Source organism: Homo sapiens, chromosome 1 (genome assembly GCF_000001405.40).
Source record: "Homo sapiens chromosome 1, GRCh38.p14 Primary Assembly".
Classification (NCBI taxonomy): domain Eukaryota; kingdom Metazoa; phylum Chordata; class Mammalia; order Primates; family Hominidae; genus Homo; species Homo sapiens.
The window spans coordinates 3,778,480-3,798,472 of NC_000001.11; the positions used below are offsets into that span (position 1 = coordinate 3,778,480).

General features: G+C 54.3%; 1 protein-coding gene and 1 pseudogene across 1 annotated transcript, besides 3 other annotated features; one reads left to right on the top strand and one right to left on the bottom strand.

Moving 5' to 3' along the window:
* Nucleotides 1-79: 79 nt before the first annotated feature.
* On the bottom strand, nucleotides 80-18,019 carry LRRC47 (leucine rich repeat containing 47). Its single transcript, NM_020710.3, has 7 exons — nucleotides 17,383-18,019; nucleotides 8,370-8,831; nucleotides 6,608-6,724; nucleotides 5,517-5,632; nucleotides 4,182-4,284; nucleotides 3,033-3,122; nucleotides 80-2,857 (listed from the first exon to the last, which is right to left on the bottom strand). The coding sequence occupies exons 1-7, from the start codon at nucleotides 17,995-17,997 to the stop codon at nucleotides 2,609-2,611; spliced, it is 1,752 nt and encodes a 583-aa protein (NP_065761.1). The 5' UTR covers nucleotides 17,998-18,019; the 3' UTR covers nucleotides 80-2,608.
* On the top strand, nucleotides 4,336-4,632 carry RN7SL574P (RNA, 7SL, cytoplasmic 574, pseudogene; annotated as a pseudogene).
* Nucleotides 14,887-15,565: an enhancer, noted in NCBI's record as "NANOG-H3K27ac hESC enhancer chr1:3709930-3710608 (GRCh37/hg19 assembly coordinates)". NCBI's record gives its function as "activates a minimal SCP1, AML or CMV promoter by ChIP-STARR-seq in primed H9 embryonic stem cells {active_cell/tissue: H9 hESC(primed)}" and the evidence as "EXISTENCE:reporter gene assay evidence [ECO:0000049][PMID:30033119]".
* Nucleotides 17,581-17,790: a silencer, noted in NCBI's record as "silent region_125". NCBI's record gives its function as "represses an Ori minimal core promoter by ATAC-STARR-seq in GM12878 lymphoblastoid cells {active_cell/tissue: GM12878}" and the evidence as "EXISTENCE:reporter gene assay evidence [ECO:0000049][PMID:35858748]".
* Nucleotides 17,906-18,200: an enhancer, noted in NCBI's record as "tiled region #1968; HepG2 Activating DNase matched - State 1:Tss, and K562 Activating DNase unmatched - State 1:Tss". NCBI's record gives its function as "activates a minimal TATA promoter and a strong SV40 promoter by Sharpr-MPRA in HepG2 and K562 cells {active_cell/tissue: HepG2 | K562}" and the evidence as "EXISTENCE:reporter gene assay evidence [ECO:0000049][PMID:27701403]".

Sequence of the window (19,993 nt, forward strand, 5' to 3'; positions counted from 1 at the left end):
CACCACTGGGCTAGAGTGAGCTTTGTGACACTTCGAGCAACAACCTCTGGCAGTGCCGGTGGGAAAGGATCTGCTGGGCCAGGTGCGGAGCTGTTTTTATTAGTGAGTCGGGGGGTGGGGTGGGGTGAAGAAAACATCAGAGACACCTGTGCTGCGAGTTAAATACATTTCCAGCATCTCACGCATCACAAGCTGCATCAGGAAAGGGCACAGCATGTGGCAGCCTCATCCACACCCACGCAGTGACAGATGTGTTACAGCATGGACACCAAGTCCCCGGGAGCCAAGATGGCAGCTCCAGCATCCCTCCCTTCCTCCCTTCCTCCTTCCCGGGCTGGGCCGGGCCATGCAGAGAAAGGGCAGCCTCTGCCATGGCAGCCCCAAATCACCTCTCAGAGCAACTGTCTGGGGTCCCCAGCCCCAGAACTCCAGCAGAGTCCTGGCCTGGGGAAGCCCCCGTGCCGCCTCAAGCCTCCAGCAGGGCAGGCCCCTGGCCAACTGTGGCATCTGCCTTGACTGCCCAGAGCAGCAGGAATCAGGTTTTGGGAGGACACAAGGCAAGGCAGTCATCTGACACACCCACGGCAGTCCAGCTGGCACTGAGTGTGTGGGCCTCGTCCTGTCTGGAGTCCCCTCCCTCCCACAGTGGGCGAGACGGGAAGGCCTGGCGGTGACCAGACAAGTGGGTCCAGGTCTCAAGGCAGCCTGGCCCATGTCCTGCAAGGCTCTGAAGAGCCACCCAGCTGTTAGTCTGCCCACTGCACAGGGCCCCGGGCCTCTCAGGTTGACAACTAAAGGTGTGTGGGCTGTGGGGCTCTTGCAGATGCTTCCCAAAATCACCAGTCATTTCTACAGACACAGAAATCGAGACACTGAACAGAGAACAAATGGTGTCATTCGATAAAGCTGATGAGTCTGCTTCTCACATGGCACCCAGATCGTAAGGCAGTGGGGTCTGTAAAATCATCGCGGTGGCTGGCCGTGTCCTCATGAGCCAAGCACACTGACTCCCGGGAGTGGTGTGCACGCACATGTGGTGCCTGGACATACACGAAGACACATGGACGTGGGGGTCTGACCTGGACATTCACAACGGAAACGTCTACAACAGAAGGCGCCCAGGACCCACCTTTCTGGCGCATAAATGAAGATTTTTGGCTCAAAAACCTAAGCATCCTCCAGCTTTTGCTACCATCTGTCCCTCGGCTGGCTGAGGACTGCCGATGCTTCCCAAGCAGAGGCGTCTGGTCCACTCCTGGGGCTCCACCTGCCTGTCACTGCAGCACCAGCGTGCACACGATGGAAACCCCACCGATGCCGCTCTCCTCCGCTTGGCCCCGCTGAGCCAGGGTGAGGTGCTGCCACTGCCTTCAGCCTACAGGCTGCTTGCCTGAAGGGGTCTCCACATCTCCACCCCCACAAAGCAATCCAACAGCAGTATGAAGAGACGCAATTCTGCCAATTCTAAGGTCACATTAAAACTTTTCCCCCCAAGATTATGATCACTGCCAGCTGGAGAACCCAACGCCCTTGCACATGCCAAGCTGCATCCTGGCATGATATGGTTTTACAAGATGCTGCGTCATAGAAAGTGACCGTGCCGTTCAAGGAAACGCACATCGGTTGGCTTCCCAAGTTTTCGGGTCTCCGAACCAGTGACAGTCACGTGTCGCTCAGTGACACATGAGAAACGTGTGCTTAGCCGCTGCTGTGTGATCACAGAGTCTTTACACAAGCCTCGATGGTGCATGTAGTTTTATTTATGTGTTTTCATCTGGAAAACCAAGTGTCCCAGCAGCATGACTGAACATCACTCACTTCCCCTACTTGATCTACAAGGCCAACGACGAGAGCCCAGACCAGGATTCCAAACACACTGCACGAGAATATTGTGGATCCGCTGTCAGGTAAGTGTCCGTCACTGACCCAGACGCTGTTACGTGGCACATGACTGTACAGTGCCACGTAACAGCACTGTACTTTTCTCCCATAAACAGTTACCTGCCATGTATCTACATGATTCAGAACATTTTGAACAGTTAATTCTGACACTTGAATAATCCCATCAAAAACCGTAAAATCACTTTGATGTTGTAACGACAACATAGCATCACTTTACGACAGAATCATCTGGAAAAACAGAACAACGAATACATACATCTTAAAAAATGCTGGGGTGGGCCAGGCACAGCTCACGCCTGTAATCCCAGCACTTTGGGAGGCTGAGGCGGGTGGATCACGTAATCCCAGCACTTTGAGGGGCAGAGGTGGACAGATCATGAGGTCAAGAGATCAAGACCATCCTGGTCAAAATGGTGAAACCCCGTCTCTACTAAAAATACAAAAATTAGCTGAGCTTAGTGGCACACACCTGTAGTCCCAGCTACTTGGGAGGCTGAGGCAGGAGAATCGCTTGAACCCAGGAGACACAGGCTGCAGTGACTCGAGATCACGCCACTGCACTCCAGCCTGGCGACAGAGCGAGACTCCATCTCAAAAAAAAAAACCAACAAAAAAACTGGGGTGAAAATCTAACGGATAATTCAGCATTGCCGCATAGAAACCTCCGCAAAACCGGCCAAACAAACGCGGACAGGCGGCCCTGGCGTCAGCGCACGACAGTCACGTGGGGAGGGGCAGTGGCCAGGTCGGCCTTGGACGGGTACACCACCTTCAGGCTCCCTTCCAGATCCACCACCCGGACCTGCTCCACCACCAGAAGGGAGGGCCCGTCCTTTCCAGCACTGGGATTCGTTGTGGGATCTGGAAGTTGTCCAGAGACTGCATCGGCTTCAGTATCTGAGAGTGATCCTTCCTCTTTATTTTCTAAAGTGTACTTTTTCATTTCTGCCATTTTCTGCAAATAAAAAATACCTTTTTAACCTGGAGATGAGAGGTGACCCAGGGAAGACATGCTGCTGTCTGCCAACACAGTAAGCAAAAAAGAGGCAAGCAGGACGGGTGGGAAGTCAAGGAGCAGAGCACCACTCACGCTCAAAAGCGTTTCTCAGGAGGAGCCACCCCACACTCACCAGAATGAGGGCATCCATGACATCCTTGCAAATCTGCAGACTGGTGGCACTTGTTACTTCCAAAAACAAATCAGAAGTCGTTTTCTTAACCTTAAAAGAAAAAAACATTTCAGAAAAGAACAGTTATCAAATGTAGACATCAGCAACTGCAACATTTGTTCTCAGGAAAAATCTACAAAACTGTGTGGCCAGGCACAGTGGCTCACACCTGTAAATCCAGCACTTTGGGAGGTTGATGTGGGAGGATTGCTTGAGCTCAGGAGTTCAAGACCAGCCTGGACAACACAGCAAGACCCCATCTCTACAAAAAAATACAAAAATTAGCCAGGTGTGGTGCCATGCACCTGTGGTCCCAGCTACTCAGGAGGCTGACATGGGAGGATCGCTTAAGCCCAAGAGTTTGAGGCTGCAGTGAGCTATGATCTTGCCACTGCACTCCAACTTCGGCAACACAGCAAGACCTATCTCAATCAATCAATTAAGCAGATGGCGTCACACACACCAAGCCCACTCCTTACAGAGGAAGACTGCAGTGCTGCACACAGCATCCCGGGCCGTCACGCAGCACCGAGCATGAACAGTGAGCTGTAGCTCTGAGAAGCCAGGGGGCCCTTTGACCCCTCTGGGCTGCGTTTTCTATTGCACACAATGAAACCTCACAATGCAGCAGATACTTGTGTGTGTTAATTCTTTTTCTTTCTTCCTCTTCTTTTTTTTTTTCTGGAGACGGAGTTTCACTCTTGTTGCCCAGGCTGGAGTGGAATGGCGCGATCTCGACTCACTGCAACCTCTGTCTCCTGGGGTTCAAGCGATTCTCCTGCCTCAGCCTCCTGAGTAGCTGAGACTACAGGTATGTGCCACTATGCTCAGCCTTCCAGGTTCAAGTGATTCTCCTGCCTCAGCCTCCCGAGTAGCTGGGATTACAGGCATGCACCGCCACGCCCGGCGAATTTTGTATTTTTACTAAAGACAGGGTTTCTCCATATTGGTCAGGCTGGTCTTGAACTCCTGACCTCAGGTGATCCGCCCACCTCGGTCTCCCAAAATGCTGGGATTACCGGTGTTGAGCCACCACGCCCCGCAGACTTGTGTTAATTCTACAGGGAACAGCCTAGAAGACACACCATGTTCACACACATGCCACCCTACCTTTGTCTTCTCACTGTTGGTTATTGGTGGGAAGGAAATCACATCACCGTCTGCATCCACAAGACACGGGTAATTTTCATTTCCATCCAGCAAGTGAAGGTATCTGTATGGGAAGAAATACAAATTCCAGGCATAATTATAAAAGAAACACTGTGCTGGGTGTGGTGGCATGTGCCTGTGGTCCCAGCACTCAGGAGGCTGAGACAGGAGGGCTGCATGGGCCCAGGAGTTGGCTGGGGTGTGCTGTGCCAATGGAGTGTCTACGCTAAGTCTGTCATCACTATGGTGAGCTCCTGGGAGTGGAGGACCACCAGGCTGCCTAAAGAGGAGTGAACCAGCCCAGGTCAGAAACAGAGCAGGACAAAAAGCTCCGGTGCTGATCAGTAGTGGGACTGCGCCTATGATTAGCCACCTCACTCCAGCCTGGGCAACATGGCGCGACCACATCTTAAAAAAAAAAAAAAAGAAAAAAGGCACAGCTGGGCGTGGTGGCTCACGCCTGTAATCCTAGCAGTTTGGGAGGCTGAGGCAGGCAGACTGCTTGAAGTCAGGAGTTCAGGACCAGCCTGGCTAACATGGCGAAACCCCGTCTCTACTAAAAACACAAATATTAGCCAGGCATGGTGGCAGGCGCCTGTAATCCCAGCTACTCGGGAGGCTGAGGCGGCAGAATCGCTTGAACCTAGGAGGTGGAGGTTGCAGTGAGCCAAGATCGTGCCATTGCACTCCAGCCTGGGCGACAAGAGTGAGACCCCATCTCAAAAAAAAAAAAAAAAGCACACACCTGAAAACATACCTAAAGGGTAAAATGGACGACTCAAAAAGTTCTTTACACAAATTAAGTGTAATATCAAGGGCCCAAGCATAACAAGCTTCAAAGAACAAAGTATTCTGAAGCCTGTGTTTACAGAAATCACTGGGCTAGTTACGGATGATCATCTTGCTTAGAGCAGCACCAAGGACCCTGACTTGGATGATACCCAACAGCGCACGGTATGGATAAAATGCTGTGGGTTGGGCTGGCATTTATGTCTGTTTCCTAATGGCTAGTTTATATCCTGTCCTGTCCCATCCTGAGGGCCACCCGCCCCCTGTGGAATGGCCAATACCTCCGCTCCTAACACCTTCCACTTCCCTCACGTCAGGGCCATCTAGATGACAGACTGGTTCCACAACGTCTCCTTTGGAAAGAGAATGCTTTCTTTGTACCCTGTTAAGAAGCTTCTGGGTTCTGGTAGCATTAGGCGGTTCCTGAGGAGCACAGACTAACTCAGCTGAGGCCAGCATGCGGCACTCCCCCGGGCCCGGCCCCACCCCACCAGGCACGCTGCCCACCTGTGCAGGCCCGACACACTCTGCCGCTTCTTCTGCTTCCTCTGCTCCTCGGCCTCCAGCTGCAGCTGCCGCACCAGCTCCTTGGCCTTGGCTTCTTTCCGCCCCAAGGGGACAATCTATCGGGCAGAAACCCACAAACTCCACTAGGGTCACAGCCACAGAACTCGCCCATCGTGTCGATTACGGCCTTAAGCCTCAATGAGCCCTCCCGACTCCCGCCCTCATTCATCTCTACAGCAGGCAGGGAGCATCCCACGGGACCACGCAGCAAGAAGCTGCATGTGGGCTGCCACTGCAGCGTCCCGGGGAGACCTGACGCCCAAACACACCGATCCTACTGAGGCAGGGCTTAACCTTAAAGCCAGCTCATGCACAACTGTTTCCAGAGGTCTGCCATCCTCAGAAGGCCAAAAGAGGAGAGAAAGGCTGAGCAGCCGGGACCTCGTGCACTCCACAGATTCAACAGCCCAGGACAGCACGACACAGCAACTCACCCTACTGCCAACCCCACGCAAACGGTTTTACTATCGGGACAGAGACCAAAATTTCTGATTAAAAGGTAGTGAGCGAGTGAAGGAAACCATTTTCCCAACGACTGCTCATCCGCCGAGTCCTCTCACAGCTGTGCACCGCTTCGAGTAACCGCAAACGCGGTCTGTTTCATTATTTCATGTCTTTGCAAGAACAGCATCGGATCCTACTCTAAAGAAAATGTTCAGGCCGGGTGCGGTGGCTTACGCCTGTAATCCCAGCACTTTGGGAGGCCAAGTTGGGCGGATCACCTGAGGCCTGGAGTTTGAGACCAGCCTGACCAACATGGAGAAACCTCGTCTCTACTAAAAATACAAAATTAGCTGGGCGTGGTGGCACATGCCTGTAAACTCAGCTATTCGGGAGGCTGAAGCAGGAGAATCGCTTCAACCCAGGAGGCAGAGGCTGCAGTGAGCCGAGATTGTGCCACTGCACTCCAGCCTGGGCAACAATGGAACTCCATCTCCAAAAAAAAAAAAAGTTCGGGCTGCAGTAGCAGCATGGCGTCTTTCGACACCAAGGAGACTCTTCAGCAGACCCTGCAAAGGAGGCTGCAGCACCTTGAGGTCCTGTGGGGGCCGGGCGCAGTACAGCAGGGGCCCTTTGACGGCACGGAGCTCGTGGGTGGCAAGGGTGGCAGCCGTCCTCTTCTCACAGAGATCTTCGTGGAGCTTGGTCTGTAACACAGAAGCAGTGATGAGCAAGGTCTCTTGTGCCCTGAAGCCCAGCGAGGTGTCCACACTTCACCCTTGGCTGGGCTGTGTGCCAGGAAACCCTCCCGGTCCAAGGTCTTCACAACCACGCCACGCCCCTTTCCGAGACAGGGCTCCCCTCCAACTCCTCTCCACCCGGCCAGCCAGGCACTCACTTTGTGGAATCACCATCAGGAAAACTATCTTAACCTATCAATCAGCAGACTTTCTTCCTTCTCTAATTCTGACATAATATTTGAGATTTCAAAGAACCCATCTTGAACTAAAATGTAAATAAAGGCTGAGCTTTAAGTTGTAAAGCCCTGGCTGTGATGCCTGTTCCCTTCCTCCCCAAGCTGCAGGCAGGACTCTCACGACAGTCACTCTCGGCCCGCCATGCTCTGTCGCTGCCACTGCGGGGCGCACGAGACTTTCCCCTGGGCACAGAGGTGCTTTATATTTTAAAAGTTGGTCAGGTGTCACAGAAAAGCAACTGGGAAGTTAGTCTTGCCAAAACCTAAACAATTCACAGAAGAATGTGCTGGCAAGAGTTGATGACTTTAATACTGTCTTACATAAAACAAAATGTGTGATTTACTGCAGAAGTCAGAAAACCCACCAAAATATCAAAAAATCAAGGAACCCTGATTTTCCTTTTTTTTTTTTTTTGAGATGGAGTCTTGCTGTGTCACCCAGGCTGGAATGCGGTGGTGCAATCTTGGCTCACTGCAACCTCCACCTCCCAGGTTCAAGTGATTCTCCTGCCTCGGCCTCCCCAGTAGCTGGGATTAAAGGTGCTCACCACCACGCCTGGCTAATTTTTGTGTTTTCGGTAGAGATGGGGTTTCGTCATGTTGTCCAGGCTGGTCTCAAACTCCTGACCTCAGGTGATGCACCCACCTCGGCCTCCTGAAGTGCTGGGATTACAGGCGTGAGCCACCGCACCAGCTGGAACCCTGATTTTCAACTGCAATAAAGCTATCCAGAAATTAGGATAGGCCAGGTGTGGTGGCTGACACCCGTAATCCCCACACTTTGGGAGGCCAAGGCGGGTGGACTGCTTGAGGTCAGGAGTTCAAGACCAACCTGGCCAACATGGTGAAACCTCATCTCTTTTAAAAATACAAAAAAATTAGCCAGACATGATGGTGAGCACCTGTAATGCCAGCTACTCAGCAGGCTGAGGCAGGAGAATCACTTGAACCCAGGAGGCGGACGCTACAGTGAGATTAGACTGCGCCACCGTACTCCAGCCTGGGAGACAAAGCGAGACTCCTTAAAAAAAAAAAATCAGGATAAACCGTTAACACCATATGTGGAGGAGCAAGGGATACGACCAGTGACCAGGACCAACCAGGCCAGGGTGCAGGCGTCTGTGAAGAGGCCATCTCCACGCTGGAGACACCTGCCTCCCGGAGGGGACTGAGGCCTTACCCCCTCCTCAGCAACACCTGAGCCAGAACCTGCTCTATTCCCTTTTTGGAGCTGAGGAAACTGAAGCACACAGACACCCGGCTGGGCCCCATACTCCACTGCTGCTCCTTCGGACACGCTGGCCTCAGGATGTGTCCCAGCTTGCGGCGTCTCACACCTCTGTCCCAGTCATCTGAGGACCCCCACGGGCACCCACCTGCGAGGTGAGGAAGCGCTTGAGTGCATTCCCTGGCTGCAGGTCCATGCCTCGCACCACGGCCCCCACAATGTAGGGCCGCACATCCCGGACCTCGGGGCTCACTCTGACTGTCAGAGGTACGGGGTTTTCAGAGACGTGCAGGACCCTGAGCAGCAGCCGGCCGGCATCTCCCACGTCCTGCTCCTCCCCATCACCACCTTCCCGCCTCTGCTTCCTCTCCCTCCTCTTCCTCCGGCTCTCTTCCTTCTCCGAGCCCTCGGCACGGCCCTTGCCCTTCCCGCCACCACGGCCTCCGACGCGCAGGTACTCCAGGATGGATCTGGTCTGGCAGCCGCTGACCATCTTCTCCAGGCGCTTGTCCCTCAGCTTGTTCCCACGGAAATTGATCTCCTTGAGCTTGGGGCAGTCCGCAAGCTCTGCAGGGATCTCGCTCAGCTGGTTGTTCGAGAGGTCCAACGTCTGCAAAGAGAAACATGGACGCGTCAGACGCCCGGACTCTGGGAAGAGAGTCCAAGGTCATGCTCGAGAGGCAGGGAGACCACTCATCACTCACAAGAGCCACCACTGGCCTGTCTGTGGGGACGCGTCCCTGGGGAGCCACAAGTCATTCACCTTTGAGTCACTTCCCCAGCTCTGCACCCCACATCAAAGGCACTATCCGAGGAGCCTCTCCGAGGAGAAGGCGTCAGCCACGGTTAACAGTGATCTCTGCAAAAGCTTCTGACTCAAACATGTCACCCTCTTTAACAACCACAGCAGCCCTGCAGCTCAATCATCACGTTAGAGAACAGAAAGGTGACAAGAGACAGGGGATGTCTGGGTGTGAAACGTGACCTCATGTCGGGACCTAGCCAGGACTGCTCAGGTGAGAAGCAGGTTCCCCAAAGTGGTGTTATTTTTTTTAATTAAATGAGCTAAAAAAAAAATACAGCAAAATCTCTAAGAGCATTCTTCTTCATAATGAAGTGCAAAGTTGCCCGCAGTGACACACAGAGTGCTCTCAGGGTTCACGCAGGAAGGAAAGGGGAAAGCCGACTTCAACGGCGATGGGTTCTCAGCCTTCGTCTGACCCAGGACAGGTGCATCGGGCCCACCACCGTGTGCCACAAAGATGCCCAGGAAGCCCCGTGGCCCACGGGAAAGCGTTTTCTATGACCGTGACTGATCAGACTTTGGCAAAACGTGCAGGTGACCTCACTGAAAGGATGGAAGGGGTACAGTGGCACCTGATGCACTCTTAGGATGTCTTTCCCAGGGTCTGGGCAGCGCAGGGAACGTGCGTGTGAGGGCAGCCACTTCCATGACGTGAGGCGGCCGCTGCAGGTTCAGGCAAAAGGGGCCCATCCGCCTCCACTCTGCTCTTTCCTGGCTTGGTACCCAGGCCCCACAGCCTTGCCTGGGTGGTGGGGCAGGCACTGCGAGCAAACCCTTCTGTCCCAGCTTCCTCTAGGGCTGGAGGAAGACCCTGCTCAGGATGCAAAGCCTGACCCTCGGGGATCTCTGGCAGCCTCGGTGCCGGCTCTGCCCCCAGAGAGGAGGCAACAGCATGTGGGCCCCCTGGAAGCCAGCACTCGCCCTTGGTCAGTGTGGCTGGTGAGTCCTAGTTACACTGGGTGTGGAGGAGACAGGTAGGGCTGGACTTGATAGACTCTGAACAGAGTTGGGGATGGGCTGATTACTCAGAGGACACCTCCTGCTTCGCCTGGAATGGATGGCAGGGGTGATGGAATTTCTCAAGCCCCAAGTTGTGAAGGAAATGAAAAAAGGAACCTGCTGGAATCCTCCGGCTCAAGCAATCAAGCTGCTCAGACACGGGTAAGGGCAGCATGGCTCAGAAATGGGATGGCGCTCAGAAGCGGGAAGGGTGGCACGGCTCAGACATGGGAGGGTGCACTGGATGAGTTCCCTCAGGGAGAACAGAGACCCAGGGAGGAAGCGACAACTTAACAGTCAAGCAGGAACAGCATGTGTAAAAGAAATAAAAGGGCTCGCGTGCCCTCTGGGAGAGAATGGGGCAGTCTAAGCAGCAGTGACGCCTGCTGGGGAAGAACACAAGGCAGGGGCTGAGACCAAGCCCAGCTGCTGGGCACTACCTGAGCCACGCGTCCATCGGATCTAACAGAACTGCCACAATTCTGTGCTTCTCAGCACAGGGTGGGCTGGGCTGGGATAGACTTGTTGGACTGGTGGCTCCAGCCCAGACCTCCCTTCCGGCCCCACATGGGACGAGAGCCAATCTACTCCTGGAATCCAGGTGGCCTCACAAAGTACCAGGAGCCGTATCACCAATGCTGTCGCCAGCCTGCAGCACCAGGAACAGTGCGGCCGTGAGCTCAGCCTTCTAGAGCTCCTCACCTCCCTGTCAGAGCCCTGGCTCCAGCGTTAGAACCAGCCTGGGCCACCAGCCCAGGGCACAGCCTGCCTGGCAGAGGCCAAGGGAAGCTCTGAGGTTGGAAGCTCGGGGGCACAGGCATCTGAGGTTCTGCTCTGTGGGTTTCTGCGCTGCCCTAAGGGGCTTTGGTCAAAAAGCTTGAGAGTTCCCCTCAAGTGGAACCTCCTTTCTGCCTGCAAACACGCAGTGCGGCGTCTCCCTCCGCTGACAAAGAGCAAGTTCCTTCAGACCCAGGAGCAGCAGCAGAGGCGAAGGAGGCGGGCGGGGCCCCACCGGGGCGCCCAGAGCAGCCACAGCCAGTTCAGCCTGCAGCCTGCAGTGAGTCCCCGAAAGGATGATGGCGGGCACTCGGAGAAGGGTCTTCCTTCCAGGCAAAGACTGTCAGAGAAAGGGCATCTGAGCAGCTCAGGACCTGCCTGGAGGCTCTGTGGGGAGTCAGGGGACAGGAAGGGAAGCGGGGGAAGGAGAGCAAGAGGGAGGGCAAGAGAGTCACCATCTGGGTGGGGCGCAAAGCCGCACATGTTGGGGAGTCCTTGTCAGAAATGCAAGGCCCTGCTGACGAGGTCGCACGCTGGCCCCTCAGGCCAGCACTGGGCACCCAGTGGCGGCCTCAGCAGGAAATGAAGCCAGAGATTTCACACATGAAGGGTGGATGAGGGTGGCGTCAGTTTTCACTTGTGTGAGGGAGCAAGCAGGCGCGCCCGCAAGGATGTGAGGTGCACACTGGCTTTGGGGAGGATGAGTTACACAGGGGGTGGCTAGGGGTCCTCCTGACACCTGATGGGATGAAATGCCGTCACCTGTCACCCGGAGCTGACACTCTACTGCAGGAAACACAACCCTCGCAGTGGCTAAGCTGACGGCAGCAACGTGGGTCCTGACTCTGGCCTGGCATACCGGCTGCCTTCCGGGCCCATGGCTTTTGCAGGGGACCTGCTGCCGGGGAAGGATCCTAACTTCATGGTGGTGACAGGCTGACATAAACCAACCCAATAAGGAGCGCCAGCCCCTGAGTGAGCCCCACTCCCTCCGGCAGCAACTGAGAAACTCGGAAGCTGGGGGAGAGCCTTTGGCTTCAGGAGGGTTCACATTGAGGCTGAACTCCCCTGTGCAGCTTGGCCTTGGGAGGGGAGTGGCCCAGGGCCTGAAAGGATGTCTTTACTAAGGCACCGTCCTGCCCACATCAGCTGTTCAGGTAACATCTGTCCCATCCATCCCTCATTCCCACACGGACACCACACGCCTGCGTGATGGCCACTTACAATGCAGTCAGGAGAGGTGTGACGTGCCCCCATCCTCGGCTCACCACAGCACTGCCAGCTGAGCCCCACGGGCCACAGCAGCGGGAAGCAGCCAGGGAGGGCCGGCCGGGTGCTCTCAGGTCTCAGCAAGCCACGTGGCTCTGAGGCCAGGACACTGGGGAAGCCAGGCTCCCACGCAGGCAGAGCTACTGCTGAGGCCATAGGACAGCAGAGGCCTCGTCCCCAGTGGCTGGGAGGAAAGAGGGTCAGGGCCTTTGCACTGCAGGTCCCAGCCCAGGCTTGGGGGTGCTCCCTGGGGAATGGCTGTGGGGATGGGCACTAGGAGCCAGGCCGAGCTGCTTCCATTTGCAGTCTCGCCCCTCTGGGGAGGGAAAGGACAGGCAGAAGCTCTGTGCTGTTATTTTGGCGGCCCCTAAAGAGCCAGTCCTCCCAAAGAACCGGAACTGGGCTCGCACTTAGTTAACCCACGGAACGCAGGAAAGTGGCAGGAAGCATGTTCCAGGTTGATGCCTGAAGAAGGGCTGGCAGCTGCTGCTTTTGTACTGAGGAGCCCTGAGCCCTGTGAAAGAAGGGGAGGGAGAGGCCCCGAGACGACACACGGAGAAGCCCACCCACCCCGGCAGCCCAGCCCTGAGCCCACGCCAGCTGAGCACAGCCACGCGAGCGACCAGCAGCAAGAGCTGCAGCACTGTCCACTGTTCACTGTCCACTGTCTGGCGGAGCCAGCCCAGAGCGCAGAGCCGCTGCTGCTTTAAGCCTCGTGGTTTCGGAGTCAAGCAGCCACAATGACCAGCACTACCTCCCCCATCTCTTTCCCTCTTCGTGTACTGCGTTACCCTCCCAGTCTTCCTACAGAGGAGCAAAGAGCCTTCAAGACCCAACGGCACGCAGCCACAGAGAGACAGGGCTGGAGCCCGTGCCTTCTGTTTTTTTTCCTTTCCTCCCCCTTCTTTCTCTCCTTTTTTCTTGAGACGAAGTTTCACTCTTATTGCCCAGACTGGAGTGCAACAGCACCATCTTGGCTCACCGAAACCTCCGCCTCCCAGGTTCAAGCAATTCTCCTGCCTCAGCTTCCCGAGTAGCTGGGATTACAGGCATGCGCCACCACGCCCGGCTAATTTTGTATTTTTAGTAGAGACGGGGTTTCTCCATGTTGGTCAGGCTGGTCTTCAACTCCCAACCTCAGGTGATCCGCCCGCCTCAGCCTCCCAAAGTGCTGGGATAATAGGCATGAGCCACCGCACCCGGCCTCTCTCTCCTTTCTTTAAGACAGGGTCTAGCTCTGTTGCCCAGGCTGGAGTGCAGTGGTGTGATCATGGCTCACTGCAGCCTCAACCTCCCAGGTTTAAGCGTTCACCCCACCTCAGCCTCCTGAGTAGCTGGGACTACAGGTGCACACCACCACACCCAGCTAATTTTTGTATTTTTTATAGAGACAGGTTTTCACCATGTTGCCCAGGCTGGTCTCAAACTCCTGGGCTCAAGTGATCCGCCCGCCTCAGCCTCCTGAAGGGCTGGGATGCCAGGCATGAACCACTGTGCCCAGCCTGCCTTCTGTTTCTGAGCTCAGTTTTCTGGTTTTCTACACTCCCCATCTCCCCACAGCACCAGGAAGGACATCAAATGCATTTGCCTTTGTGTGCGAAATTCCAATGTGCGTAGCTACATTGCTGGGCATAGTTCTGGTAGCCATTCCTCAGAAAGGTACCCAAAAGGACATCTGAGTGCAACAAGGGATTCCAATAGCTCTTGCATGACCCTCCAAGAAACAGGTCTCCTGATAGAGAGCCACTGGACGCCTAAAATTTACGAACAGAATGGCCCAGGGGAAAGGGAACTTGGCCACCTCTTTTGGGATTTAGAAAACAAGACACACTCTTTGACTTGAATGACATTGTTTTGGGCACCATAAAGAGGAATGCTTTACCAGGCAGGTGCTACAGAGAGCTGGACGCACACTTTTTTTTTTTTTTGAGACGCAGTCTCACTTTCTCACCCAGGCTGGAGTGCAGTGGTGCAATCTCGGTTCACTGCAACCTCTGCCTCCCGGGTTCAAGCGATTCTCCTGCCTCGGCCTCCCGAGTAGCTGGGACTACAGGCATGCACCACCACACCCAGCTAATTTTTGTATTTTTAGTAGAAACGGGGTTTCACCATGTTGGCCAGGATGGTCTCGATCTCTTGACCTCGTGATTCGCCCGCCTTGGCCTCCTAAAGTGCTGGGATAACAAGCGTGGGCCTGGCCCACAACACTTTTAAGAACTTGAATACTGAAAGACATCTATGAATTTGAAGAGAAATATTGCAACTGACTGGACACTTACATGATGTAAGGCACAATGTTAAGATACATGCCTAGTACATCAACACTCTGGAAAACCAAAAGTATCTGTCAGGTGGGAAGGTGGGAGTAGACCATGCTGTATCCAACATCACACCTTAGTCCTAGAGGGATGCCTACAGCCCTGAGGACCAAGGAAAATGCCAGTGAACTCGCCTCTTCCAGGAAATGCCAATGAAACCACCTTTGCAAAAACTGTAACAGTGAGAAAATTATGGTGGTGAAAGAGATCTGATCTAACCAATCCCCATCTTTGGCCTTCCAACTACCTTTTTTTTTTTTTAAATGGAGTTTTGCTCTTGTTGCCCAGGCTGGAGTGCAATGGTATCATCTTGGCTCATTGCAACCTCCGCCTCCCGGGTTTAAGCGATTCTCCTGCCTTGGCTTCCTGAGTAGCTAGGATTACAGGCATGTGCCACCATGCCCAGCTAGAGATGGGTTTCTCCATGTTGGTCAGGCTGGTTTAGAACTCCCGACCTCAGGTGATCCGCCTGCCTCAGCCTCCCAAACTGCTGGGATTACAGGCAGGAGCCACCGCGCCTGGCCCTTCAAACTACCTTTAATTATTCCTGGGCTTGGGCCAAGCTAACTTTGGGAGACATTTGTAATTTAAATGATAATACTCCTTCCGTAAAACTCAACTGCCTTTGTAAAGCTAATGAGGGTCCACGAGGATAGGAGGATGGAGGAACCTGAATTCTGCTAAGGGGTAGACATAAACAACTGCCAGCTATTCTTCTGGAGGTCACAAGATATGCGACTTCCCCAGTGACTCCTGCAGATAACAGCACTAGCAGCACTGTGGAACCTAAGACCGGCCTTCTGAGCTGTGTCTTTTCAGGGTTTTTGCATGTCTGATCAATGGCTCTACCTGAAACCAAAAAGAGCTCCCCGCAGCCCCAGCCAGAAGTGACTCAGTAAGCAGGACCGTTTCCCACACCCCTATGATTGCACCTCAACCAATCAGCAGCAAGCACCCGTTGCCTAGCCACCCTCCCCTTTCCCCAAACTATCCTTGAAAAACCCCGCCTCCAAATTTTTGGGGAAGCTGATTTAGTAATAAAACTCGGCCGGGCGCGGTGGCTCATGCCTGTAATCTCAGCACCTTGGAGGCCAAGACAGGCAGATCATGAGGTCAGGAGATCGAGACCATCCTGGCTAACACAGTGAAACTCCATCTCTACTAAAAATACGAAAAATTAGCTGGGTGTTGTGGCGGGCGCTTGTAGTCCCAGCTACTCGGGAGGCTGAGGCAGGAGAATGGCGTGAACCCGGGAGGCGGAGCTTGCAGTGAGCCAAGGTTGCACCACTGCACACCAGCCTGGGAGACAGAGCGAGACTCCATCTCAAACAACAATAATAATAACAGTAAAACTCCAGTCTCCACTTTAGCTGGCTCTACATGTGTAAAACTTTCTCTATTGCAACCCTCCTGCCCTGATAAATCAGCTCTATCCGGGTAGTGGATAAAATGAACCCATTGGGCAGTTACATCAGTAACCATGTGTCACTCTACAGTGGGTTTGTTTTTTTTGCCACAGGGTCTCGCTCTGTTCAGGCTGGTATCACAGCTCACTGCAACCTCCACTTCCTGGGCTCAAGTGATCCTCCCACCTCAGCCTCCCGAGTAGCTGGGACTACAGGCACGCGCCACCAGGCCCAGCTAATTTTTGTATTTTTGTAGAGATGGGGTTTCACCATGTTGGCCAGGCTGGTGGTGTGACCTCAAGCGATCTGCCCGCCTCAGCTTCCCAAAGTGCTGGGATTACAGGTGTGAGCCACCGCGCCCGGCCAGGGTTTGTCTATATATCCTTATATAGATATGTTACTTGTAAAATGAGTTGCAATGTCTTGAGGAATTGCTACAGCAAATAAATAGATAAGCTGCTAAAGTGTATACGTATTTTATTAAGAAATGTCCACATAGGCCAGGCGCGGTGGCTCACACCTGTAATCCTAGCACTTTGGAAGGCCGAGACAGGCGGATCACATGAGGTCAGGAGTTCGAGACCAGCCTGACCAACACAGTGAAACCCGTCTCTACTAAAAACACAAAAGTTAGCCGGGCGTGGTGGTGTGCGCCTGTAAGCCCAGCTACTCAGGAGGCTGAGGCAGAAGAACCGCTTGAACCCGGGAGGCGGAGGTTGAAGTGAGCCGAGATCGCGCCACTGCACTCCAGCCTGGGTGACAGGACCAGACTACATCTCAAAAAAAAAAAAAAAAAAAAGAAATGTCTGCATAAATTCAAAGACGAAAAATGGGGGAAGAAATGCAGGACTGCCTTAAGGATGAAACCAAAAGAGAAGATGGAGAGAACATCTGGCTGGGTTTAGGTCGTGGTTCTGCCATGTGGCTTCCCTACTTTCTTTTAGGCAACAGATTCAATGGGCACCTGTTATAGGCCAAGCATTATCGCGGGGCCTGGGGATCCAAGATTAATTAGTAAACAGACGCTGGACAATATAGTCTGGAGAAAAACCCAAGTTACCTGCTGCTTACTTTGGGCAGGCCCTTTGGCTTTCTGTAAAACAGGAATAACCACCCCTACCTTGGAAAGCTGCTATTAGGATGAAGTGAAATATAATCTTCAAGATCACAGCATGTGGCATTATGCAAAATCCAGGGTGCCCCCTTCACCACCAGACTCACTCTCAAGTCACTTCACAAGTACTAGATACAAAAAAGACAGGTCTCTACGCTCGATCTACAGGAGAAGCCAGGTTTGCTAACAATTACAAAATAGCGTACCACGTGTAAAAGTCCAGTTAACAGAATGCGGGGGAGTTCAGAGGCCACCTAGTATGTTGGTGTGGCCAGGAGAAGGGGGAGTTGGAAGGCGGCATCTGCTTCCCAGGGGTGATGCCCCCCGCAGCTGGCTCCTTTCAGCCTTGTAGGAATTCCCTGGGCCCAGTGCCCCAGGGGGCGTCACTAGGAACTGCTCGGCCCCGAGAGGGGTTCCTTCTCCAGGGCTACTCCAAGGCCCCATCCCGCCCCGCCCGGGCAGCCCCCGCTGACCTTGAGCGAGGCCAGGTGGGCGATGTCGGGGCTGAGTTCTCGGAGGCAGTTGTCAGCAGCCGCCAGTTCACTGAGCAGGGGCAGCGCGCCGGGGCGAAAGAGCTCGGCGGGAAAGGAGTCTAGGCAATTGCCGGTGAGGTTGAGGCTCTGCAGGCGCGGGGCGCAGCGCGCCAGGTCGGCTGGCAGCTCGCGCAGCCGGTTGCCGCTGAGGTTGAGGCTCTGCAGCTGCGGAAGGCCCGGCGGCTCGGCGGGGCCCAGGCCTTGGCCCGGCGGCAGCGCCTCCAGCGCGTTGCCCGACAGGTCGAGCACCCGAAGGGCAGGCAGCGGCCCGAGCTCGGGGCTCAGGCCGGGCCCCAGCGCGTTGCGCCGCAGCACGAGGCTGTGCAGCTGCGGCAGGCCCTGCGCCAGGCCAGGCCCCGGCGCGCGCAAGCTCCCGCAGCCGCTCACTTCCAAGTAGTGCAGCAGCGGCAGGGTGAAAAGCCGCGGCGGCAGCTGCCCACCCGCCGCCCGCACTCGCTCCTCCAGCCCGGGCCCCGTCAGCAGCAGCTCCCGCCGCCGCTCGCGCTCAGCCAGCTCCAGCTCCGGCCAAGACTCTGACACCGCTGCCGCCGCCATGGCGCCTCAGCTGCTGGCAGGCACCCACCCACCAGGGTGCTTCCGGGGCAGCGCGCGCCACTTCCGACCTGTGCCGGAAAAGCCCATAGAGAAGCCACCTGGCTGCTAGAGTGCCGCCGCGCGTGCCATAGAGGAGAGTGGCCTCTCCTGCGTAGAGCCGGGGAGGGGCTGGAGAGCGGCTCGCTCTCTCCGCGGGTAGGGGTGAGGGTGGGGGTTATGAACCCAAAAATATCTGAGACAGGACTCAATGAAATGTAAAAAGTTTATTTTGCCAAGGTTAAGGACACGCCAGTGTCACAACCCTAGGAGATCGTGACGATGGTGCCCAGGGAAGTTGGGATGCAGCTTGGTTTTGTACATTTTGGGGAGACGTGAGACATCAATCAACACGTGCGAGTGTACCTTGGTTCAGCCCAGAAAGGCTGGACAATTCCAGGAGAGGGCTTTCAGGTCACAGGTAGAGAAGAGACCGGAGGGTGCATTCTTTTGAGTCTTTGTTCAGCCTTTCGCTGACTGCACAATTTATTATGCATGTGAGACGCGGGTAGAGGAATAGTCGCTTATGCTTTAGTCTGGCTTACTGAATCTTCATTTCTACGTAAACAGTAGAGCAAAGGAAGCGATCAGATATGCATTTGTCTAGGTGAGCAGAGGGATGGCTTTGAGTTCAGTCCTTTGTCTCGCACCTGTGAAGGGAAGCTATCAATTTGCATTGCCAGGGTGAAATTCAACAGAACTGTTTTAGGGTAAAGATCTTGAGGCCCACAGAGAATTTCTTTGTGGGCAAATTGTGAGGGAGGTGTGTAGCTTTAAAAATATGTATTTGTAACTATCTTATTTAGGAATAAGACGGGAGGCCGATTTGCCCGAAGCAGTTCCCAGCTTGACTTTTTCCTTTGACTTAGTGATTGTGGGGTTTTGAGATTTATTTTCCTTTCACAGGGTGGGGTGCGGGCGGATGGAGGAGCCAGAGTCTGTGCTCTACTGTGCCCCGACCGGCTTGTTTTGGAATTCCTGCACTTTTGAGTGGTGTAAACCAAAACCAAAATTCTTTTTTTTTTCTTGAGACGGAGTCTCGCTCTGTCACCCAGGCTGGAGTGCAGTGATGCTATCTTGGTTCACTGCAACCTCCGCCTCCTGGGTTCAAGCAATTCTCCTGCCTCAGCCTCCCGCTGGAACTACAGGTGCATGCCACCGTGGCCGGTTAATTTTTATATTAACCGTGTTAATATAATTTTTATATTAACCGGTTTTCGCCATGTTGGCCAGGCTGGTCTCGAACACCTGACCTCAGGTGATCTGCTCGCCTCAGCCCCCCAAAGTGCTGGGCTCACAGGCACAAGCCACCGCACCCAGCCCCCAAATTCTTATTTATTTATTTATTTATTTATTGAGACAGAGTCTTGCTCTGTTACCCAGGCTGGAGTGCAGTGGTTCCAGCTCGGCTCATTGCAGCCTCAACTTCCCTGGCTCCAGTGATCCTCCCACCTCAGCCCCTGAGTAGCTGGTACCACAGGCATGTGCCACCACGCCTGGCTAATTTTTGTATTTTTTGTAGAGCTGGGGTTTTGCCATGTTGCCTAGGCTGGTCTCAAACCCATGAACTCAAGCAATCCACCTGCCTCAACCTCCCAAATTGCTAGGATTACAGGTGTGAGTCACCAAACCTGGCCAAAAAATAAAATTCTAGAGGCTGGGCACGGTGGCTCATGCCTGTAATCCCAGCACTTTGGAAGGCCGAGGCGGGCGGATCACCAGGTCAGGAGATCGAGACCATCCTGGTGAACACGGTGAAACCCCGTCTCTACTAAAAATACAAAAAAAATTAGCCGGGCTTGGTGGCAGGCGCCTGTAGTCCCAGCTACTCGGGAGGCTGAGGCAGGAGAATGGCAAGAACCCAGAGGGCGGAGCTTGCAGTGAGCGGAGATTGCGCCACTGCACTCCAGCCTGGGCGACAGAGTGAGACTCCGTCTCAAAATAAATAAATAAAAATAAA

Excerpts from the sequence above, each read along its gene's own strand:
- LRRC47 (NM_020710.3), bottom strand. The coding sequence starts at position 17,997 with ATGGCGGCGGCAGCGGTGTCAGAGTCTTGGCCGGAGCTGGAGCTGGCT. Across the intron at positions 6,725-8,369 it reads AGCGCTTCCTCACCTCGCAG|ACCAAGCTCCACGAAGATCT; the intron begins GTGGGTGCCCGT and ends TCTGTGTTACAG. Across the intron at positions 4,285-5,516 it reads AGTGTGTCGGGCCTGCACAG|ATACCTTCACTTGCTGGATG; the intron begins GTGGGCAGCGTG and ends CTTCCCATACAG.